The 25,532-nt window shown below is 37.6% G+C and overlaps 1 protein-coding gene and 1 pseudogene across 43 annotated transcripts in view; one reads left to right on the forward strand and one right to left on the reverse strand.

Moving 5' to 3' along the window:
* EZH2 (enhancer of zeste 2 polycomb repressive complex 2 subunit) overlaps nucleotides 1-25,532 on the reverse strand; it is a 76,909-nt gene that overhangs the window by 5,464 nt on the left and 45,913 nt on the right. For 9 of the 43 annotated variants that reach the window (NM_001203248.2, NM_001203247.2, XM_047419990.1 and 6 more), the window contains 12 exons: nucleotides 19,788-19,904; nucleotides 16,882-17,002; nucleotides 15,894-16,034; nucleotides 14,318-14,420; nucleotides 13,623-13,786; nucleotides 6,750-6,841; nucleotides 5,031-5,271; nucleotides 4,376-4,545; nucleotides 3,838-3,932; nucleotides 2,660-2,700; nucleotides 2,068-2,193; nucleotides 1,113-1,291 (listed from right to left, as the gene is read on the reverse strand). In NM_001203248.2, the coding sequence (NP_001190177.1) occupies nucleotides 1,113-1,291; nucleotides 2,068-2,193; nucleotides 2,660-2,700; nucleotides 3,838-3,932; nucleotides 4,376-4,545; nucleotides 5,031-5,271; nucleotides 6,750-6,841; nucleotides 13,623-13,786; nucleotides 14,318-14,420; nucleotides 15,894-16,034; nucleotides 16,882-17,002; nucleotides 19,788-19,904 (1,590 nt within the window). The other 34 variants (XM_011515887.4, NM_004456.5, XM_011515883.3 and 31 more) reach the window with 14 other exon arrangements.
* On the forward strand, nucleotides 8,169-8,223 carry RNU7-20P (RNA, U7 small nuclear 20 pseudogene; annotated as a pseudogene).

Consider the following 25,532-nt stretch of genomic DNA (forward strand, 5'->3'; position numbering starts at 1 on the left):
AGCTAAAAACAAAAAGCCCACCACCCTGCACAACTCTCTGCCATAAACACAGACTTTGGTTCAAAGACACAAACAAAACCAAGAGAACTTCAATGTTTTGCCTGGAGCAGAATTTCTGGTAGAAGGGGACTTGCTGGTAAGAAGTGTGTTCTCAATTATAAATAAATGGTCCAACAACAAAGATATGTCTACTCTACACCCCACATACACACACACACACACACACACACACACACACAGAGCATAAGAGCAGGTTAATGGGAGCCTGGAGGATTTGATCTCCTGCTCCTTTACAAGTCTTGTGACTTTGGGTTTCCTTACCCGTAAAATGGGGGTTAACACTTACTCCTCACTCACAGGGTTAGGAGAATCAATGAACAAATCCACTAAAGCACTCACAACAGTGCCTATTTTTACATGCTTAATAAATGTCAGCTATTATTATAAAAAGAACTGACTGAAGAAAGAACTTATCATCTGCCCTAAAAAAAAAAAAAAGATACGAAATTTCCCAAATACATGCTGCTGAAGTGTCTTTTGCTCAATCATTACTTCCTGGCTGATAGAGTTAACTCACCTACATACAATTCCCCAGACTAAAAATATATAGTTCCTAGCTGGGTTTTTTTCAAGGTTATTAAACAAACAGGAAGTAAGTCTATAAAAACCTGCCATGGGAAATTTCATCTTTTACTCTACATAGCAAGGAATCTATAAATACTCTTTGATGAGAATGAGTCTATATTTTGATAGAAATCACCATTTATTTGCATTAAGGATACTAGATAAACTATTAACTAAAAGACAAATTCAAATAATCTATTAAACAGGTAGAAAAAATACCTCTTATTCCTAAATCTGATACCATGAATGGCTACTTCTCAGAATTTGCTGGTTTCTCCTACTATCAGAGTATGGTGCTCTATATAAAACTGAAGAGACTGCCCAAGGGTGCATTACCCAGAGAAAATTATGAACACTTTCTCATCAGTTGCACCTTTCAAGGATCACTTTTACTTTTTGCCCCAGCTAAATCATCTAAGGCAATCCTGACATTTGCATCACTAAATAGCTAACTACAAACAATCTTCCAGAAGTGACTTGTTGCTCACCTTTTTGGAGCCCCGCTGAATACTGCAGTTCTTGCAGGACACATTTTTACTGTCCCAATGGTCAGCGGCTCCACAAGTAAGACAGAGGTCAGGGTCACACTCTCGGACAGCCAGGTAGCACGGGCACTGCTTGGTGTTGCACTGTGCTTTGCAGCGGCATCCCGGAAAGCGGTTTTGACCTTCAGAGAGAGGTTTGGAGGTTCTTCACTCATCACCGTATGCAAAAACTTGCAGAAAGATACGTGGCAAGGGCTGTACTGGGCATCTCACTGACTCTCAACCCTCACAACCACCTTATTACCCTACTATATAGACAAGGAAATGGAAGTATTAACAGCGAAGTTATAGCTGTTTGCACTGAAAAAGACCACCACTGAGTTGTTTTTCCATTTTTCATTTGTTAAATAGTGTATATATTTAAAGTCGGTGTGAATAAAGGGTCTGGATGGAACAATATCCATGGTCCTTGACCATTCCAATAGCCCCTAGTTCTAAACACTCCCTTAATACCCAAGCTTCATGTGCAGTCTCATTAAACAATTATAAAAATCTACTATGTTTATGCTACATTCCTTTAATCTGAAGACTAAAACCCTCCTAACTCTGACGATTTCTGGTGCCCAAAAATTATTTGGGTAGCTCCTTCTAGATTCCTCTTACAATCTGTGCCAACTTTAATACAACTTAATTTAAATGATCAAAGAAGAAAAAAATAAAATTCAGGTTCCTTTAATACAACTTTGCCTGCCTCACACACACAGACACACAACACCCAGGCGACTGACTGGCCACTGGCACAGGGCCAGGTATGGGGCTCAATAAATACTTGTCAAATTGATGAGTTTCGTCAAGTAAACAAGGGAGTGCTCCCATGTTCTTATTTTTGATTTTTTAAATTGCTAACCAAAGACCTATTTAGTTCTCATGCAATTGCATCAAAGCAACAAATACTTACACTCTGAACTACATTGACAAAACTTTTCACAAAAATTTTGTGCTATCACACAAGGGCACGAACTGTCACAAGGCTGCCGTGGATGATCACAGGGTTGATAGTTGTAAACATGGTTAGAGGAGCCGTCTGAGTAAAGATAACATCATGCAGGCCAATGAATCCAGGGAGATGGAAACGATCATACACAATTAACACGAGTACATTCTTCCCTACTACCTGTGGAGTGTAGCTGGCCTGCCTTTACTGAATGCATAACATTACACATATTCCGGTTTCCACAACGATGGCAAAAAATACTCTCCCACCCCCAAGTGCTTATGAGTTCCATCTAAAGCACGGCTACATCTCAGTCCCATCCCAAAGCACTTCTCCTTCAACTGACTCGGACTCACACCTTCCAGTCAGCCTCCACTTTACAGAAGAGAATTGACTGGGGATTCATCAGTAGACGTCCTCCATTCAAATTGGTTTAACATACAGAAGGCAATTATATTAGAATAACCCAAGCTCTAATCCAGTTACTATTCTAAAACAAATGAAAACAAAGCAGATATTGTTAAGCTAATAATGAGAGGAATGGAAAGATGCTAACCCTTTTTCAGCTGTATCTTTCTGCAGTGTGCAGCCCACAACCTGCAAAAACACAAAGAAAATTAAACCAAATTTCTGCGGGAAGCTACAAATCCAACAGAGAGCTGCTTAACTGGATCTATCTGTGCCATGAATACAGGAATGCGTTAAAGCCAAGAGTCATGCCCTGCCCAGTTTATATTTGCCATCAGTTTGAAGCAACTCAAACAGCTTGATGGCTCAGGCTGCCCCAGGTGTGGCAAGACGTCATTTCCTGTGTTCATCCATGACTCCTGGTCAGAACTCCTGAGCTCCCAATGCTGCACAAAGCAGCAGGTGTGTCTGCCTGTTGATTTATTCTGATGTGGATGACACTGATCACTTCCTCTTATTTCAGGCATCATAAACCAAGCAAGTGAACTACGTGGTCAGAAATAATTCAACCAAAATTTCAGAAGCATCTCCTAAAGCCTAAAAAATAAAAATAAAAACTTGACTTTAAAAAAATTCTAAATTGGGTTGGCCCTACACTTATTTTTGTTAAAGTAAGAAAATGTAACATGAGCCTGTACACAATTTAAGAAGCATAATCTAACTGCACCCTTACCTACCCAATTAGGTTTCTCATTTTTAAAAATGTGAGGTAGAGGTATGGGGAGATTAGAGCAGATAGTCCACTCATCAATTTTTCTGGTTCTACATTTACAAATCAAATCAGCCTGAAAACATTCGCTAAGGTGAAAATAACATTCACACAAGCTTAAAGTAGGGTACCCATTAGGAGTATCGGAATGCAATGCCACACAACTTAGAAATTCAAGCTCCTGGAATAAAAGATACTTCTAAAAACTGGCCCAGAGCTCACATCAGAAACACAGAACATTTCATGATGTTAAAGTAATTGTTTACGTAACCTTTACTGCAAAAGCTACTAAATATGTTTTTCTTAACCCAAATGCAGTCTGGTAACCGTAATTTTTATGACTCTTAACATACCAAATATACTGAAGGCTGCTGTATTCTTATAGAAAAATACTAGCAATTCCCAGTGGAAATAAGATTCCATAGTTCTGTTTTTGATGGCAGTTTAAGGTTTTTTAAAAATAGACTAAGTAGAAACCAACAACAGCCCTTAGGAAGGGCCTTGCCTGCAGTGTCTATCTATGTTGACTTCTCTAAGGAGCTTCATGACAGACTCACCGGTGTTTCCTCTTCTTTTTCCTTGGAGGAGTATCCACATCCTCAGCGGGAGCTGGAGCTATGATGCTAGATTCTTTGACTCTAAACTCATACACCTGACAAGAGGCACAGTCACAGAGCCATGAGGACAGTCTTATTTAGGCAAACCATTCTTATACTCATGCATACCAGAAAAATGTCTTTGTCTCTTCTGTGACACTGCTAGATGCTGGGGATATAACACACATCGCTGTCCCTACCCTCACATTAGGGGTAGCTGTAATTATATTCTGGTCAAGAACTGTGATGCTAAATTTCAATTCTTACTAGCTTTTAAAAGCTACTGCTATCTAACCTTAAAAGTCTACATTGGGGAAATTCTGTAACATACCTGGAGAATAATTTTCATTCAATTCCCTCTTGGGAAGAAAAAAAAATTATTTTTAGGAGATGAATAGGAGCTTAGTAATAACCAAGAATTTTCTTTGTTTGGACAACGAGTACAGTTTTATCTCTATGTTTGAAGCTCTTTTAACAACATTTTTATCGGATATCTTACCTGTCTACATGTTTTGGTCCCAATTAACCTAGCAATGGCACAGAAATTGTCATAGTAAGTGCCAATGAGGACTCTAAACATTGAGGCTTCAGCACCACTCCACTCCACATTCTCAGGAGGTTCAATATTTGGCTTCATCTTTATTGGTGTTTGACACCGAGAATTTGCTTCTACAAAACCAAATGTAAGCACTGGTCAAGAAATGATTGGAAATAATATTAAGAAGTACAATTCAGGGTGTGCTTAAGAAAAAAGCGAAAAGATGAGGACAACTCAAATCCAATCGGCAAAACACTAACCCATCGTAGTTCACATTTTCCAACAAAACTACTCACAGAACGTCAAGAATATTAAACCAAATGATCCAAATTTCATTATTCCCTACCTGAGAAAGATCGAAAAAAGAAAATGGCACAAAGAATGAGAATAAAGTGCATCATCAGCTTTCAAACAACCAAGCAGGGCAAACACCACAAGCTAGGGTACGGGTGCAGGCAGGAAACAGAAACAACACAGCTACACATTCTTGAGATAACTCTGGTCTTTATACTGAAACTAACCAACTAAGAAAATTATTCAATGCATTATACATCCTTAATCCTCACAACACGAACTTTCACAGAACAGTAAAACCCAGTTATTAGACGTGTCTTACCAGAGGAGCTCGAAGTTTCATCTTTCTTCTCTTCTTCTTCTTTATCATTGTTCTCTCCCCCCGTTTCAGTCCCTGCTTCCCTATCACTGTCTGTATCCTTTGATTCCAGCACATTAATGGTGGGGGTGCTGGGCCTGCTACTGTTATTGGGAAGCCGTCCTCTTCTGCGGCCTCCTGGACGTTTTGGTGGGGTCTTTATCCGCTCAGCGGTGAGAGCAGCAGCAAACTCCTTTGCTCCCTCCTACGAAATGAAAAATGTCAACATCAGGGCAAAGTTCTAAAACTCATTTTGATGGAAGAGAAAAAAAAATACTATATAAGCCAGGTTAGTCAAAAAATGTATCACATTATCCATTTATCACAAATAATCATTTGCATGTCTAATATACTTGTTTTGATATGCTTTTGATAGTCTGAAAATTTCAGAAAGAGAAATATGGGTTCTATATATTCCTAGAATGGTACAAAAATCAGGCAAGACAGTTCTATATTGTGAATTTGTAAAATATATTAGCTAGTTATAATTAAGTTAAAATATAAGAAGATAAAGTATGAAATATACTTCATGTAATAAAGGTAATTATCTCTATGGACATACAGTCTATTTAAAAGTGAATCTTTACAAAAGAATCATATACCTAATGTGCACGGAGTCAGACTACCTATGCAGAGTTTAAGATAATGCATACCTCTTCGTGTTAATATTTCAACTATACAAGAACACAAAACACAAACATGCTTGACTTTGTCACTTCCTGTCTTACTATTAAAACATCCAACATTTTTTTTTTTCCTGTGAAGGATACACAGCCACAGGAAGACATGAAAGGAACTTCAGGAATAAGACTGTGAGGGTTACATCTTGCATTATGAAGTACAATAATCCAGTCTCAAAGTATAAAACAATGGTAAGAGCATGGTTTATAGAGACCACAGAAACATTTTAGATGAGCCAAACAAAATTCTGCCTTGTAAAGAATATTATAAAACAAGTGCTCAAGAATTCCATTTTTTTAGTGGAAATAGAAGGGAGAAGTTTGACAGCAGCCAACAGTTTTATACTTCATTCTACAAAAACCAAATTGCTTAAAAATAGGATACCTTCTGCAGGTGCCATTCAATGAATCTTCTGTCCAAAATCCAACAGGCAATATATACCCATTTAGTTCCTAGGTAGGAGTGGCTTGGTTCAAAGAGGGGAAATGGTAAAAATAAGAGAGTACCCGTAAAAACAACTTTTCTACCTCATATTTTCCTAACCCCTTACCTGTTCTCCATCATTTAAAAAAAAAAAATCTGTGGAACCTATCACATAGCTGAAATGACAGTGCATCTAAAACTCAAGTAGAGGGATATGGCTATGAGAGGGGCTTGGGATCTACTGCGTATGATTACTGCATGCCTGCTTTCTAAGCGGACTATCTGTGCCTTGCAACTCTCATAGACTTTGTGGAAGGCATAAAAGTCCTTGATCCTAAAGACCTTGAAATGTTGCTGAAGAGATAACACAGATTTTAAAAAGAATAATACCACATTAATGAAGGACTAAAATGTGCAGTACATGAGCTATGGAAGAAACAGCATGGGTGAGAAAGCTCTGTCTATCATATGGCCCATAACAGCATGGGTGCAGACAACATTAACGCTGACTTGATCACCTCCACCAAAGTGCAAAGTCCTCTCAAGTACCCTCTGCAATAATTAGGCACTAAGTCTTACCAAATGCTGGTAACACTGTGGTCCACAAGGTTTGTTGTCTAGAGCTGTTTCTGTGTTCTTCCGCTTATAAGTGTTGGGTGTTGCATGAAAAGCTGCAAAATAAATGAAACAAAGAATCTAATATAACTATAAAATACTTACTTTTTCACTCTTCCAGTTCCACTGGAAAAGTCAATTAATGGATTATAATCTTGCTAATATGTGGTTTACGTTACTTCATACAACTTTCCTTCAGGCTCTTACTGAATGATCACAACGTATTCTCCATTCCTCCTCCTCCAACCATTAAGCAGGAAGGAAAAACAGTAAATTCTGGAATGAGTCGTGATTTCTCATTTTTCTCCTTGCAAGTAAAACTGATGCGCATAACTATGGTTATAAACATTTACTTAAATTGAATCTTACTATCTCTGTCTAAGCAGTTGATAGACCCTCTACAATTAAATCAGATTTCCTATTTTTAATTCTGACATACAATTTCTTGATTTCTAAAGAAAGGTCAGCAATCAGCTTGTCACCAGTTGTAAAAACTCATTTTTAATGATAAAGAGGACAGCCCCAGATTACTAACATTCAATTCCTGTGAATCATACCCAATCCAAGAACCTGGTGAGAGCTTATAGTGTCTTGCCACAGAAAATTACAATGTCAAAAAAACGGATTTTAGAAAGATACACTGTTTGAAACCTAAAATTCCAAAATAATGTAACAGAAAGATTCAAATGCGGGTACACTGCTACATGAAAAGAGTGTGAACATTGACAGCAGTGCTAACTTCACAGAATTTCTTGCAAAAACTTACTTCCTCATATACAAAAGGGAAATGCTGGAAATGGACTATTCAGAATTATACAAGATGAAAATTAATTTGGAGAAAAACAAGTGACATTTCCACAAAACAAATCATCTTTTAAATATTTGTAAAAAGCCATATTTAAAGACTGAGAAAAGGAAGGAAAAAAAAAAAAAAGGACAAAGTTGTGTTTTTAAAGAAGAAAAATTCAAGGCTCAGATTCTGTTGGAAGCGTGTGAGCAATTAGGCTCCAGACAGCCTAACACCAATACTAATCTGGTGCTGGATTACGTTTGTTAAGGAACCCTAATACAACTGTTTTTCTGTTTATGAGTTAAACTAACATTGTAGCTGGTTCTCTGAAGAAAAAAATACATAATTTAAAATACAAAAACCACTTCTTAACAAAAAAGTGACAATGAAATATATAGAGAACAAGAATATTAACAAAAATAAAACGAACATTAGAGAACACATAAACTTCATACAAATAAATCTCAAAACCTGGATGTAAAGAATAATTTTCTAAAACTCATCCAGAAGAGACAGAACATTTATCTCTATCTACCAGCACTACTAATTTTTAAACTGTACTGAAACTACAAGCTAAAGTAGGTAGAAAAGACAGTTACAGCTCTTTTAGAATTTGTCTAGCAGGCTTTCTGGTTTTTATCAGAAAGCCTCCCCACTCCCCTCCCCCGCCCAACCAAAAAATAAATAAATAAAGTAGGTAGAAAAGAGAAAGAAGCTTCAGTTATAAAGACTGGATAGAAGGTAAAACCATTAATAACTACAGACAGTATAATTACACAGCTGGAAAACTCCTAAGAATGTACTGAGAAACTGATAAAACATGAAGACAATGCAGTAAGGTAGCAGGGTACAAAACAGAAGACAAAATGTGGAAAAAGCCCAACAGCAGCAGCAAGTTTAATACCTAGAAATACTCAACAAAAAATGTACAAGAGTCACATAAAGAAAACTTGGGAGATAATTAAAGGACACAAAAAGAGAGGTGATGGTATGGTTAGTTAGACTTAACCCTTATATTTTAAAAAGAAATTAGGTAATTTATAAATTTAATGGGATTCCAATAAACATACCACTAATTTTTTTTAAAAAGAACTAGACAAACAGATTTTGAAATGTATATAGGCTGGGTGCAGTGGCTCACGCCTGTAATTCCAGCACTTTGGGAGCCCAAAGTAGGAGCATCACTTGAGGCCAGGAGTTTAAGACCAGCCTGGGCAACATAGTGAGACCCTATCTCAAAAAAAGAAAAAGAAAACTAACCAGCAATGGTGGTGCATGCTTGTAGTCCCAGCTACGCAGGAAGCTGAGATAGGAGAAGAGCTTGAGCTCAGGAAGTCAAGGTTGCAGTGAGCCATGATTGTGCCACTGCACCACTCTGGCCTGGGTGACAGAGCAAGACCCTGTGTATGTATGTATGTGTGTATGTATATATATCTCTCTCTCTAAATAAATAAATTTATATAGAAAAACAAGAATTGCCAGGAGATCTCTGAATACCGCCTCATGAATAGACTAAAGGAACACAATGTTGAGAAACCCAAATACATATGGCAACAGGCAATGAAGGAAATATCTCAAGGTAGTGAAAGATGAACTTTTCAGTAAATGAAACAACTAGGCAACTTTGGAAGTGAGGAGGAGGATCAGATTTATAATCCACATCATATTAAATTCCAAATGGATCAAAGATTTATGTTTTTAAAAATGAAGCCTAAAACATACTAGAAAAAGTGAGAAACGCTTTATAATCTTGGAATGGGAAAGCTAACTGATAAATTCAACTACTTTTTAAAAAATGTTTAAACTGACCAGGTGCAGTGGCTCACACCTGTAATCTCAGCACTTTCAGAGGCTGAGGCGGGCAGATCACTTGAGGTCAGGAGTTTGAGACCGGCCTGGCCAACATGGCAAAACCACATCTCTACTAAAAATAGAAAAATTAGCTGGATGTGGTAGCACATGCCTGTAGTCCCAGCTACTCCAGAGGCTGAGGCACAAGAATCCCTTGAACCCAGGAGGCAAAGGCTGCAATGAGCCAAGATCACACCATTGCACTCCAGCCTGAGCGACAGAGCAAGACTGTCTCAAAAAAAAAAAAAAGTTTAAACTTTGCTTATGGGACTTTTACCAAATAAACTTGAAAAAAATTGCAACTCATATTTCAAAAAACCTAATTTCCTGATTATATAAAAAGCTCCTAAGACATCAAAAAGATCTATGAGACCAAGAATAAAAATAGGCCAGGCGCAGTGGCTCACACCAGTAATCCTAGCACTGTGAGAGGCTGAGGTGGGTGGATTACCTAAGGTCAGGAGTTTGAGACCAGCCTGGCCAACATGGTGAAACCCTGTTTCTACTAAAAATAAAAATATGAGCCAGGTGAGGTGGTGCGCGCCTGTAATCCCAGCTACTCAGAAGGCTGAGGCAGGAGAATCACTTGAATCCAGGAGGCAGAGGTCGCCGTGAGCCAAGACTGCACCACTGCACTCCAGCCTGGGCGACAGAGCGAGACCCGTCTCACAAAATCAAAAAAACAAAGAATAAAAATAGTTCACTCTTCAACATATAGGAAGATCCTACCCTCATTCAAAGGAATTAAATCCAGATATTAAAACAATGCTTATCACCTGTGGGAAGCAGAGATTAAAAAACAAAGAAAAACAAGAATTTAAAAATAATGCTAAAAGCCATTTTTCACTTATAAAATCAATTTTAAAAATTAGTTTGGTAACACCTTCTATGGGCAGGGCTCTCTGACTTTGCTGGTAGGGCTTTAAAGTGCTGCATCCCCATATGGCAGGTCATTTGGCAATACCTAAATAGAGTTTATCAGGTAAACTTAAACTTGCATGAAATGGGTACAGATATTTGCTGTGGCATCGTTACAGCATAAGGCTCAAAATAATCCAAATGGTCACCATTAGAGACCAGTCCAGTAAGTTCTGGAACCTCCTACAGCACAGGCTATGCAGCTATACAGATAAAGCTAATAGCTACAATATTAAATCCTATCCTTATTCCAAAAAAAGGGAAAAGCCTGAATGCTATGCCACCATGTAAATAAGACGGTCAGAAAAAAGGGTATCTTTATACTTGTCAAAGAAACTGTAAAAAAAATACGAGAACCAATAAAAGTGGTTAACTACTAATAAAAGTGGAAGAGTGAGGTAAAATTTCGAAGGATGGGGAACAGAAAGTCATTGGGAGACTTTATTGTACACATTTTCATACTTTTTTTTTTTTTTTAAGAGATGGGGTCTCACTCTGTCACCCAGCTGGAGTACAGTGGCATGATCATAGCTCACTGCAGCCTCAAACTTTTGGGCTCAAGCAGTCCTCCCACCTCTGCCTCCCAAAGCACTGGCATTAAAAGGATGAGCCACCGCGCCCAGCACATCTTCATATTAATACTTTTTGGAAACGTAAACCATGTGAATGATGACCTATTTTAAAAACAACAATAGCTAACAAGAGCCAGGTACCATTTTAAGTATCTTCCCCACATTAATTCATCTAATCCTCACAACAGCTCTGTAAAGGAAGTACTACCGTATCCCCAAGATAAGAGACCAGAAAACTAAAGCACAAAATGCTATATTCAACATAAAATCGACCAGGCGTGGTAGCTCACACCTGTAGTCCCAACACTTTGGGAGGCCAGGGCAGGTGGATCACTTGAGGTCAGGAGTTCAAGACCAGCCTGGCCAACATGGTGAAACCCCATCTCTACTAAAAATACAAAAATTAGCTGGACGTGGTGGCGGGCGCCTGTAATCCCAGCTACTCAGGAGGCTGAGACAGGAGAATCCTTTGAATCCAGCAGGCGGAGGTTGCAGCGAGCTGAAATCACACCACTGCACTTCAGACTGAGCAACAGAACGAGACTTCGTCTCAAAAAAAAAAAAAAACAACAACAACAACAAAAAAGAAACAGTCATGTGCTGCATACCATCTGAGTCAATGATGGACCGCATATACAACAGTGGTACCATAAGATAATATTGTATTTTTACTGTATATTTTCTATGTTTATTATGATTTAAACATACAAATACTTGCCAATGTGTCACAACTGCCTCCAGTATCCAGTACAGTGGCATGCTGCAGGGATATGTGGCCTAGGTGTGTCATGCGCTGTACCATCTAGGTTTGTGTAAGTACACTCTGTGTTTACATAATGCCAAAATCACCTAACAACACATTTCTCAGAATGCATCTCCGTCCATAAGTAATGCATGATTATATATATTTAATGATTTATTTAGTAACTTATTTTACCTAAGAAAAATATACCATGTGTGGTATTTTGTCGAAGTTAACGTAAAACAATGAAGTTCCTACAGAACTCAATAGGACTGAATGATGAAGACACTGGCTCTACTGTAAAAAGAAGTAAAAGTGGGCCTAGCACAGTTGGACCCATGGCCACCAAATGCTACAAGGAGGCAGCCAATTAGCCCCATGAAAGCCAACTTTATTAAAGTAAAATATTCCACTGTTCTCCCCAGCTAGAATGAGGTAAGTAACAGGTTCAAGATTCAAGTTAACAAAAAAAAAAATTACTCATCTCTGAATGGCACAATAAAAAACTTGTAATGTTTAAAAGTAGTGTCCTACTTCTATGGTTCATTTTTACAGCAAAAAAACTTTATTAAATGCTACATCTATAAACAACAAATTGGAAGGACCTTTCAGCGACTCCAAAATAGTGCTTCCACTCAATTCTTTTGCTATAGTGATATCTACATACAATGTCCAATAGTCTTAATAAAAACTCGATGTAATTCATAAATTCATGGTGTGTAAAGGGAAATTAAAATGAAATTCAAGACAACTATTTCAAGGGCTTAACTGTCCAATGGCTGAAGCAACAAATGGATGACTTACTACGAATTTTTAAAACTACCAAATCAATTTAAACTAGATGAGGAGTTAGAACAAGAGCAAGGAGGTAACAATATAATGATAATTCTAAAAATCTACTTCAAGTTTTTCTATTTTAAGATAACTAAACCACTAATATGTCACACACAAAAACAAAACTTAACATTTCCAGACCAATGTATTACATCACTCAACACATTATTAGCTGCAGCAAAAACAAGTAGAGCAAACACTTAGGAGGAGGTGAGGTACAGCTGCTTGGGCAAGCTTAAAAAGACGTTATCATTGGTGAACGAGGAGGAATAAATCTGTCAATGGTAGGCACAGGAACTCAAAACAACAAAGCAATGTGGGGCCGTTGAGTACAGGGGAAAACGATTTTACAATGGGTCAAAGCCCCTAAAGAAATTACCATGCCATAGACAGACGTACTAAAATACAATATAGGAAAAACCAAACTATAATAAGCAAACTACTCTAGGAAAATTAGGAAGTATTAAATACATTTTCAAAATATGTGCCTCAAAAGTAGTTGACGCTTTTAAACTGTGCTTAGAAGTTTCAATTACCAGGAAAATTTACTAAGAAACCACATTCCCTAGAAATGCCAGAGGAAAAAAGTATTTTTGTATATACCATACTTACATTTTCACTAAGAACATTTTACGTTTTACTTGTATTCAAATGCAGGTATTTTTAAAAAACAACTTACCCAGAGGGCAAAAAAATAAAATAAAATAAAATAAAATTACATTAAATCGACAAGCACTTACCTGAACATTTTTTTGGCCAATTTCTTATTTAACACAATTTATTCATCAATATCAGCAATGTTGCTCTGGGCTACCAGTTCATAATAATAGTTTTATTGTAAAACAACTGCTTAGTTAGCACTTACGGGGGAAAAAAAAAAAAATCACTGACCTGAATTCCATGTTAGTGGAAAATAGTAGTCCAAATGAAATACATGCAAAAGATTTCAGAGCAATCCTCAAGCAACAAAGTAAAAATAATAATACTGAGATCTAAAGATATTTGTCAAAGTAACTACAAGATTAAATGATAAATTCTAGTTGTAATAAATGATAGCACTCTCCAAGCTGCTTTAAAACATAATTCCACAACAAAGATAGAAAATGAAAACGTACAATAATTGCACTTACGATGTAGGAAGCAGTCATATTTAAAACATCGCCTACAGAAAAGCGTATGAAAGGAGTGTAAGCTTTGCTCTCTCTGAACAGATTTAGCATTTGGTCCATCTATGTTGGGGGTACATTCAGGAGGAAGTGCGCCTGGGAGCTGCTGTTCGGTGAGTTCTTTATATCTGACATTAACCAAGAAAAATTTAAGTAAACATGAAACAAAAATCACTTTTTTGAAAACAGTTTCTAAAAGGTTTCCATGTGTTACTTTTGATGTTTATCTTGCCTAAAACATAAAGGAATGGCTCTATTTAGATAAAGAGCCAACTAAATATTGTGCATGGTGTTATCAAGAATCAAATTCATCGATATGATTCAAATATATCATGGAAAAGGATATTATATTAGTTTTAACTAAACATCAAATTTCTACCAGTATCCAGATAATTTTCCTGTAAATGTACTACTGTAAATTTTATGTATATGTGTGTGTTTATGTGTATATATAAATTATACATATGTATTTATTCTATCTACAGGAAATATTTTGTAATGCAGAGTACCACAAGTACACATGTTGCTTCAAGTATCTTGCAAACACTGTAAACAAAGTGTAGTGGCTCATCCGCTACATTGATTCCATTTGTAATAAACCAAAATGGTGAGTTACATACCATACAGGGCAAGATTGCCTCAAAGGAACAAATTCTTACTTTTCCTTTAGTTCTTCTGCTGTGCCCTTATCTGGAAACATTGAGGAAATGGCTTCAAAAATTTTATCAGAAGGAAATTTCCGAGGTGGGCGGCTTTCTTTATCTAAACAGGAGAATATGAAAGGAAAAAAAGAATGGAAGTAAACAAGTTTTTGATCTTTCATTTTCTCTACCCAATTATGTCTCTATAACAAAGCTGATTTTCTAAGAAATCATCTCTATTTTGTGTTTTACTTACTTCTCACATACTTTACATGTCTGTGGAATGCCAGTCAGTCAAAAACAAAATTCAAATTCAAATATGAAAAGCTTTAAGAGCACTGGGAAGCAGAAAACCTAGGTTCTACTCCCAGCTCTGCTACTAACTGATTTTGTGACTTAGAGTGATCACTTTACCTCTTGGGTCTGTTTACTCATCTGTAAAATGAAGGAGCTGAACTAGATGATCAATAAGGTCAATAAGGTACCTTTTTGTTATTTTCTCTTTTTTGAAATACGCTTCTTAGAAATTGCTATTTCACCCGCCAAATTATTCTATTCTATGCTGCCTTAGCATGAGCTTTGCCAAGTAGAGAACACCAACTATTGACTCTGTTTCTTCCCAATAGTGTAATCTTATAAGTTACTTAACCTCTCTAAATCTATCCCCTCAAATAGAAAATGGATCTGACAGGTGGGGCGCAGTGGCTCACGCCTGTAATCCTAGCACTTTGGGAGGCCGAGGCAGGTGGATCACGAGGTCAGGAGATAGAGACCATCCTGGCTAACACGGTGAAACCCCGTCTCTACTAAAAAATACAAAAAATTAGCTGGGTGTGGTGGCAGGTGCCTATAGTCCCAGCTACTCGGGAGGCTGAGGCAGGAGAATGGCGTGAACCCAGGAGGCGAAGCTTGCAGTAAGCTGAGATGGGGCCACTGTACTCTAGCCTGGGCGACAGAGCGAGACTCCGTCTCGAAAAAGAAAATGGATCTGATAATAACATCCATCTCATGAAGCCATTATGAGGATTAAGTGAGCTGGTGCATAAGAAGTGATTAGTACACAACTTGTACACGGTGAATATCAATGTTATATATTATAATGATGCCCAGTGAAGCACACAAAAAATTACGTTCTTTGCTAGCCAAAGGAAACAAAGATACTCAAGTGAAGATAATGTTGCAAGTATTATGCTTTTTTTTTTCTTTTTTAAGGCAAGGTCTCACTCTGTCACCCAGCCAGACTGTGCAGTGGCACAATCACAGCTCAATGCAGCCTACACCTCCTGGGCTCAAGCAATCACCCTGTCTCATTTTTTTACTTTTTAGTAGAGATGGGGTCTCACTATGTTGCCCAGGTTGGTCTTGAACTCCTGGGCTCAAGCAATCTGCCCACCTTAGCCTCCCAAGTGCTAGGATTACAGAGTTAGCCACCCTACCTGGCCATAATATGTTAATTTTGATTATACTGCTATCAATGTGATATTTAACAAAGAAAGAAAAAGAGAAAGAAGAAACTAAGCCCTATTTCTACTCTTTCTACTGTTTTTGAAAGAAAGCTGTAATGGCTACACAGAATCCTAATAATCAGGCATACCATCTCGGTGATCCTCCAGATCTTTCTGCTTTTCTTCTCTTTCTTCAGGATCGTCTCCATCATCATCATCGTCATCATCATTATATTGACCAAGGGCATTCACCAACTCCACAAAAATTTCATCATTTATAAACCCACATTCTGAAACGCATCAAATGTCAGAAACACACAGGAGAAGCAATAATGTCAAAAGTTTATGTATCCTTTTTCTACTTGGACAAAACAGGCATAGCCTAGTAACTGGCACTAAAACATTATTATTGAAATGAGGGGAGGAAAAGATAAGATCATTTTCAGGACTGGTGTTAGGCAAAGGAAGCAAACTTATCTTTAATACCTGCTACTTTCTGTAGAATGGCCCCTCCCCAAAACTTTCTAGTAGAAAACTGAATCTTCTAGGAACTGATTGTGGCTTTGGCCTCCTCCCAAACAATGGATCTGTCCTTTAACTGATCATTTCAGACCCTGCTTTCTGCTGATAATGACAATGGATGATGATATTACAAATATTATCCTTTCAGACACTTTAACAGGGCCTCCTGGACACAAAAAACTGAAACCATGACTCTAAGGATTGAATTTCAGGTACTGTAGTCCCTAGAGGAGCGGTATTTTTTAGTAGTAGGGGCTGTTGGAGCCCCTATATGCCACAGAAGCAGAGCCCCAATCCTAATTAATTTTACTACTAAAGAATCTTAAAATCTACATACACTCAAGTTCTATTTAATTTACATGTTATTGCCATTATGTTATAACCAACTATGCATAATTATCAGGTGGCAAACATGATCCTCCTAACTAATTTTCCCAAAAATAGTTAGGGAAAATACTGAAAATCTTAGGCCTGGGCCCAGGTTCAGTCCCTTATAGTTCAGTGCAAAACTTAATTTTAATATTAAAATTTTTCTCATGCCCTATATGCTTCATAAACAAAAGTGTCTCTCAATTCTTTAGCCCCTTTTTCCAAGAGAAGAAGCATATGGCTCACCTCTATCCCCGTGTACTTTCCCATCATAATTTTTTATTAGTTCTTCAATGAAAGTACCATCCTGATCTAAAACTTCATCTCCCATATAAGGAATGTTATGTAAAACAGTTTCATCTTCCACCTAAAAGAAAAAAATATATTTAAAAAGCAGGTTTACTCTAAGTATCAAATGTGAAATAACTAAAATACAACCTTTTTTTCATGTGTACATGTCTTTACCCAGTTCTCCAGATTTAAAATACTAGTCAGAGAGCAAACTCTAAAATTTATCAAAAAATAAAAGACCCCTCTCACCAATAAGCATATCTGAGAAAACTGTTGACAGAAAAAAAATTTAATTCTAGAAAAAATAATGCACTTAGTCTGTCATCAATCATTAAAACTTACCACCATTATTGTACATACCTCTAAGAAAGAAAAAGATGCTCTAGATTATGAGAAGACATCGTCTGTTTTTCTGTTTTTGTTTTTTAATTGAGACGAGTGTCTCACTATGCTGCCCAGGCTGGTCTCGAACTCCTGAGCTCAAGTGATCCACCCGCCTTGGCTCCCAAAGTGCTGGGATAACAGGTGTCTGACACCATGAGCCACCATGCCCAGCCATCATCAGTTTTAACGCGCACTTTAGATGTTAATAGAGGATGATGAAATATGGTGTATCAAGATCAACTATAAAGACCCATACCAAAAAACTACCCTAAGACTCCCAAACTCCACTTGATGATCCAGTTATTAAAACAGCCATTAACTTGTAATAGTTTAAGGTAAAATGAAAAAAAAATGTAAGACATCCAATATAATAAAATTCTAGGGATACAGAGTATTGATAGTCCATTAAAGTTTATGCCAAAAGGATATGTACTTATATGTAAAATAAGAACATTCTACAAAAACATAAAATATTTCAATATTTAGATGAATGAGATGAATATCAAAGTTGACAGTGCTAGTAAAGATGATAGATGAGTTTTTATCAAGCTTTGGAAGACAACAGAGAAGAAAGAAGAATAGCCAATCAAACAAAAGTTAAGACAGAATAGAATAGTTAAGCATACAAGGTAAAGAAAGTTGACATTCATAGGAGGAAGAGCATTTTCAATGAAGAATAAAAATGACAGCAGTTATAGATAAAGACTGGACAGTTCTGAAGTACATGTTTAAAGAGACTAATTCCAAGTGAAGACAAGTCTAAGTCTTAAGAGGCCTTTGAAAAGAGTATTGGTTGAAAACAGAATTTTAGAAAGATAATTATAATAAGCAGAATGGACTGGCTATGCCTGACTGGGAGGACACAGAAGCTCTTTAAAGGGTGAGATGGCGTAGGCTCGGCCCAGCACTATGATCATGGCCCACAGGTAAGAACACGCTGGGAAAGGCCACACACAGGACTAGTAGCAGCCAGGGAATGTGGAAAAAATCTCAAATAATCCCTAGGTAACAAATTTAGGACAACTGGAGAGTTCATAAAGATAACAAGTACCGTAGACAGACAAGGAAAAGAAAAAGTGGGATAAAAGGAGCATATAATTAAAATGCAGGTTTTAATGTATTCATATATTCAAATTCAAGCTTATGTACACACTAGAGGCCTGTTTTCATCTCATTTCACTTGCACTAATCTCATTTAAACTAGGGGTTGATTTCTTTCTATCTAAGCCAAAATCAAGTGACACTTAGATATTTTGTCTTTTCAATCATATCCACATCATCCTGCTCTCCAAAACGTATCTTAGTTACAATAAAGATTGTGTGCCTAATCTGCTTTGGTCAGCAAAATCAGACAGGGTCTGGCTCTGTCACCCAGGCTAGACCAGCAAAATCCATGGGTGATTCATAAATTAATGACAAATTTAAATAATATATTCTTCCAGAATTTCAGTCTGTGAAAACATGAAACTTCCCTCAAGGTCATGCAATGTAATTCTCAAACTACACTCAAATTTATACAACTACAGAAGAGTAACTGAAGTTGAGACTCTACTGTACAAAGTATAAAAGTTACTAAAAACTTCCCCAAAGCAGGTTCACCAAGGACTTCTATCAACATTTTATTAGCCTTCCCACTTTATATATCAATTAAGTAATACAACTATATATTTTTTATTTAGCAATACAAGTCAAGAACACATGCTTCAGTTTCTCTTTAGCATTTTATTACAAAAGCTGCTGCGTCAGAGTTAGCAATGGAACTATGTTTCAGCTCATGTTTCACAAGCCCTATGAATTTTACACCATAATGTACATTATCACAATAAAATGCTACCTAAAGTTGTTTTAAATAATAAGTTCTCAATTAACAAAAACTCAAAGTCAGACTTAGATTACAGGACACTGACTTTTTTAAGGATAAGAACTATAAGCTTCATTCCTTTTGTTTTTTTCAGACAGGGTCTGGCTGTCACCCAAGCTAGAGTACAATGGCACAATCTCAGCTCACTACAACCTCCGCCTCCCTCAAGCCATCCTTCCACCTCAGCCTCCTGAGTAGCTTGGGACTACAGACATGCGCCACACCCAGCTAACTTTTGTTTTGAGGACACAGCGTTTTGCCATATTGCCCAGGTGGATCTCCAATTCCCAGACTCAAGTAATCCATCTGCCTCAGCCTCCCAAAGTGCTGGGATTACAGGCATGAGCCACAATGCCCAGCCCATCTTTTAAATATTTTTAATCCTAGGTATGGTTACTGCTTAACACTTTTCCTTTGGAGAGTATAGGAAAAGAGTAATACTGCACAGGCCTTAAAAAAACTACCTTAATCAATTTTTAAAAATTACTTCAAGTGTTATTTTGATAGCTTTTTAGAATTTATACTGTCTTGATTCACCTTGACAATAAAATTATCTATGCTTTTTTACTTCAAATAAGTTATTATCAAATAAGCAGAAGATATCTTATTTACATACCATAAAATTCTGCTGTAGGGGAGACCAAGAATACATTATGGGTACTGAAGCAACTGCATTCAGAGTCTTTAATGGGATGACTTGTGTTGGAAAATCCAAGTCACTGGTCACCGAACACTAAAACAGAAAAAATAAAATTGACTCTTAAGAATAAAAGGACAACCTTAAGCTGTAGCCATCATATTGTAAAGAGATGCTGCCTACCCAAATATTTAATTTTGAAAAAAAAGTCCTTACCTAGGACAGTAAAGTGGTCATATAAACCAAATAGGATTCTCTCTTTTCTTTTACTTAGGGTGCAAAAATGCTTCAAATTTTCCAAATTTTCAAAACCTCCAACCCTTCCCATACTTACCAATATCAGTAAGAATCAAAAACTGTACTTATATGAGATTCAGCGATCTGATTAACTCCTCCATGCTTTTCCTATACATTTATTTCCTAGCTCATCCTTCATTTCTCTTACATTCCAACCACACAGAATAGTAATATGTATACCAAATAAGCCACTTAAATCTTACTTAATAAGAATAAGAAAACTTGGGCCGGGCGCGGTGGCTCACGCCTGTAATCCCAGCACTTTGGGAGGCCGAGACGGGCGGATCACGAGGTCAGGAGATCGAGACCATCCTGGCTAACACGGTGAAACCCCGTCTCTACTAAAAATACAAAAATTAGCCAGGCATGGTGGCGCGCGCCTGTAGTCCCAGCTACACGGGAGGCTGAGGCAGGAGAATGGCGTGAACCCGGGAGGCGGAGCTTGCAGTGAGTCGAGATCGCGCCACTGCACTCCAGCCTGGGCGACAGAGCGAAACTCCGTCTCAAAAAAAAAAAAAATAAAATAAAATAAAATAAAAAGAATAAGAAAACTTGTTCAGTTAATCTTCCTTATCTTCCTTTTTTAAAATCTAAGTGTCAATTGCTGATATTATCAGATGATACATAAATATTAAGGGTAATGGGTTTGTGTTTCAATCACAACAAAGTAAATTTAAGTCTATTCTGCAAAACTGTAATCTCTGAATTAATAATATTAGCTGATTACTAAGTACTTTCTATGTGCTAGGCTATTTTAAACACATTACATGTCTTCTATTTAATCCTCATTACAACACTGTAAGATGGGTACTACTCTTAGCCCCCATTTTACAGGTGAGAAAACTATAGAAAAGAAAGGATAAGTAGCTTGCCCAAAGTTGCGCATGGTTCTCGGGCTAGAATGTAAACTCCAAAAGCCTGACTCTGGAGCCCCTGCTCTTCCCGCTCCTTATATTGCCATGATACCATATTGCTAAAATGTGTCAGTGCACATAGTCCCTTGAAACACCATATTTCATACAATCTATGATGACAGCGATTTCAAGGTACATCATTATCTTCTGTATCACTAAGAAAAAATGCTGCCAACTAAACAAAGGTATAATCCATTCTTATCACAGTGATTCTAAGATGCATGTTGTTTCCAATGTTAAAATGTGAAAAATTTTGCATCTTTGATTCTCTGAAATATGGTATAACTCTGTGCCTAAATAACCACAGCACTTTCCACCCTGTCTACGAATCCGAGATTCCTTAAAGAGTACTACTGCCCAGGTGTAAGTCCTCCAGAGCCTTCTCAAAAATATCCTAGACATACATTCATAATCCACAATCAATGAAAATAGAGCAAAAAAGAAGTGTAGTAAAATGAAACTGAAAAATCATTATATATATATATATACACACACACACACACACACACACACACACATATTAAATGTTTAAATTTTTTATTTAAAATGTCTTAAAAATAGCAGAACTAGTTGTGGTGAAATTCAGAGTAGAAATCTGGCATATGGGCCACACCTGACCCTCAGCATTGGGTTGCATCAGGCCAGTGGGATAATCTCTCAATCATCACAGTCACTGCAGCACAAAAATAATTCCTTCCTTAGTGGAAGTAAAGGTTTAAGGATGGAGTAGTTAGGAAGAACTGTGACAGTGATTCATCTATTAATTTGCTTTCCAAAAAGGCAAAGATAAAGGTAATAATACTAATAAGGCTCTTAACTCGAGTAAACAAGAAGGTGTGAACAGTTTACTAACACTCCAGAGCCCACAATCTTTCCCCTTCCTGCTATTTGGCCTCTGATACAATCCTTCATCCATCCATCCAATAATCCAATAAAAACAGCAGTTAACATTTATTGAGCACGTACTATGTTGCAGGCACTGTGCTAAGTGCTTGTATATATTATCTTAATTATTCCTCATTACAACCTTATGGTGTAGTTTTAGCATCAAAACTTCACAAATGAGGACACTGAGGTTCAGAGAAGTTATACAATTTGTCTAGTCAGAAAGGTAGCAAATTACAAAACCAGGATTAAAACCTGGATTTAAAGTCTGACTGCAACACCCGTGAGCTTAATTAATTACTGCACTGTAGTTCTTGCCCTTGCAATGCTCATGGGGTAAAATAACAATTACAGCCATGCAGTATTTACTATATAAAACAGAGACATGGCTGGGCACAGTGGCTCAAGCGTATAATCTCAGCACTTTGGCAGGCCAAGACGGGCAGATCGCTTGAGCCCAGAAGTTCAAGACCAGCCTGGGCAACATGGGGAAACCCTGTCTCTACTAAAAACACACAAAAAATTAGCCCAGCAAGGTAGCACGTGCCTGTAGTCCCAGCTACTTGAGGGGCTGAGGTGGGAGGATCACTTGAGCCTGGGAGGCAAAGGCTGCAGTAAGTTGTGATCAGCACCACTGCACTCCAGCCTGGGTGACGACGGGAGACCCCGCCTCAAAAAAAAAAAAAAAAAGAAAATAGAGACATAATGTAATAGGAGCATCTCCTCCAACAACAACTTATTAATACTACCAAGTCTTCTTTCCTTCTTTCTACTTAACTGGGTAAATTTGGGGGTGGAGGTGCTTATAATTACCGAATATACTGAATATAATTACTGATACTGATAGTATCAAATACTATCCAGTGACTTAAAGTACAAAACAATTTTCATTTCTTAAAAAAAAAAAATTCCGATTTTTTTAACATTTGGCAGGAATAAATTAATTCTGTGGCTTCTGAAGGAAGAAGTGCTTTGAAAGCTTAATGGGGAGTGGGCTGCCTCTCCGACTGACTTATTCACCTGCTTTAACACCTAACTCCAAAGTCGCACATAAGGGTTAGAGAATGAGTTTTCAACTATGACAAAGAAGGAGCATTGGCTTTGCTTCATCTATGGTTGCTCTAGTGATACAGCAAATACTCTGCAAATTCTGAATGAAGTCAGCTGATTTTTCCCATTAACAGAAAGAACTTATGGAAGCACAGAAAATATTAAGGCACAGGCTGCAGCACTACGTACTACTTCCAGTCCCATACCTCTGTCATACCCCAGTATCCCATCGCCTCAGTTCTGAGTCATGCGAGAGTCACTAAGAGACAAGAAATAAGCTCTCTGAGGGCAAAAGCAGCTGAGCCAAGTGTGGCTTCACCTCTGTCTTGAAACGATACTCAGCACAGTGTCTCAAAAAAACAGTAGGCACTCAAAAAATGTTTCTGGAATGAACAGACTACACTTGATGATTTTCTCTAATGGAGACTTCAATTTCTGTTTCAAGCTAAGAGAGCACCTATTTAGAAAACTGATGGTCTACCCCCACCTCACTGTATTTCTAGTATCTAGAAACCTATCCCATTCTTTACTATTAACCGTAACTAACAACCATATTCCTTTCATTTATGAAATATTCAAATGCAAAAGCATTTGTTGGTGAAAACAAACGTGGGATTCTTATTTATTGACTTACAGAAAAATTACTCAAAAATCCCAGTTACTTACCAGCAACTTATTTTTCTTTGAAAATGTATCATCCTTGACAGTTTACATAATTAAGTCTCATGTCACTCAGAGTAGTGAAAAGAATTTTTACCTCATGGGTCTCCACATTTCACCTGGTCAGAGCCATGTGTCCTGGACTCAGGAACTTACTAGGAGACCTTTATCAACAAATTAGATTCTCTAATTCCAGTTCCAACTTGAGGATCACACAAGGAAGTTAGAGATGATTCATCATCAATGGTTTAAAAAAAAAGGGGATGGGGGGGACTAGAATCATTACCAAGGATGCTACATTTTCAGAGAAACACAGCTTACTGGTAAGTAACCAGGTTCCTCTGAGGATGGATAGACTTACATCAACCAGCTGGTACAATAGGCGACTGTGTGGCTGGACCACTGGGAGCTGGAGAGGGAAGTCAAGCCAAAAATAGTAGTTGTAGGAGTACACAACCAAACTGAGACTCTTGGCAGAAGGCTGGTTCCAAGTAAAAACTGTGTTATGGAAAATCGTAGAGGGAAGAGCAGGTGAATGGCCTGCAGGGAAGGGAAAGAAATTAACACACCCTACTATGTGCCAAGCACTGTGCTAGAGACTTTACCAAAGTTAGCTTCTTTAAATTTCACAACTACCCTGTGAGGTAGGTATGACTCCCCATTTTACAGTGGACATCCCAAAGACAACAGCCATGGCCGTCCTGCCTCTGAATAATCTTTAACATGAGAAAGGCTAAGTCCAACTTCCATATAGTAGGGGAAAACATACAATCAATTAGCCAAGTAAAAAATATTCTCAGATACTGGTTGGTCCATTTATTTCATGCCAGAGACATAGTAAACTGTTGACATTGTCTAACATCCTGTAGCCTTTCCATGTGACAACAGCGAGGAAGGTGCAGGAAGGTCGGCACTCCAGGAAAGGAAGAGTCAGAAGAAAGCATCAGCTGTCACCAAGTCTAGAGAAAAGCTGGGGGTGATTTCTGAAACTACCCTATATTCTGCAGGACTTGAGGAAAGAAAAGATAACACGCCCAAGTTTTAAATTAGCTAGCCCTTCTGGTGAAAATGACCGTGTATATAATTTAAGTTCAGGCTACTTTTATGCAAAGTAAGTACTGAAGAAAAACTGCAATGAGATAAATAGCAAATTTGGATAAAGTAAAGAGAAGCTCAATAATGGAAGTGAATTCATAATCAGGTTGAGAAGGCAAAATAGGAGAAGGGAGATTGAAGACGACACTTGAAAAGAAATGAGTCGCTCCAACAGGAGAGAGGCAGAAACAAAAACGGAAGAAAAAACCCCATTAAGATATTGACACAGATGTATTTAATGAAAGCAACTAATCAAGTGTTGGAGTTAAGAAATGAAAAAGAGTAATTCATATCAGATTGTAAATTATTTCAGTTTGTGTTGTTCAGTATTTGTTACAGACCAATTCCACATTGGGTGAAGAACCTCTACCCTACAACACAAGGGTATTTGCTTCTCAGTTCACTTTTATCCTGTAATTAACGGTTTCTACATTCCAAGGGGCGGGGAATGATAACACAGCATTTAACATAGGACATTTGGAATACAGTATCGGGAAGTTTAGACTCCTTTTTTTTTTTTTTTTTTTTTTGAGACAGGGTCTAGCTCTTGTTGCCAAGGTTAGAGTGCAGTGGTGCAATCATGGCTCACTGCAGCCTCAAACTCCTGGGCTCAAATGATTATCTCACCTCAGCCTCCCGAGTAGCTGGGACTACAAGTACGTGTCACCACATCTGGCTAATTTTTTTATTTTTTATTGAGATGGGATCTCACTATGTTGCTCAGGCTGGGAGGAAATTTAGATCCTTAAAGCTCTTCCCCGCATCCTACCTTCAGAAGCCGGGCCCTGAATGAAAGGAATCACAAACATGCAAACCTACTTAA

The sequence above is a fragment of the Homo sapiens genome, chromosome 7 (genome assembly GCF_000001405.40).
Source record: "Homo sapiens chromosome 7, GRCh38.p14 Primary Assembly".
Classification (NCBI taxonomy): domain Eukaryota; kingdom Metazoa; phylum Chordata; class Mammalia; order Primates; family Hominidae; genus Homo; species Homo sapiens.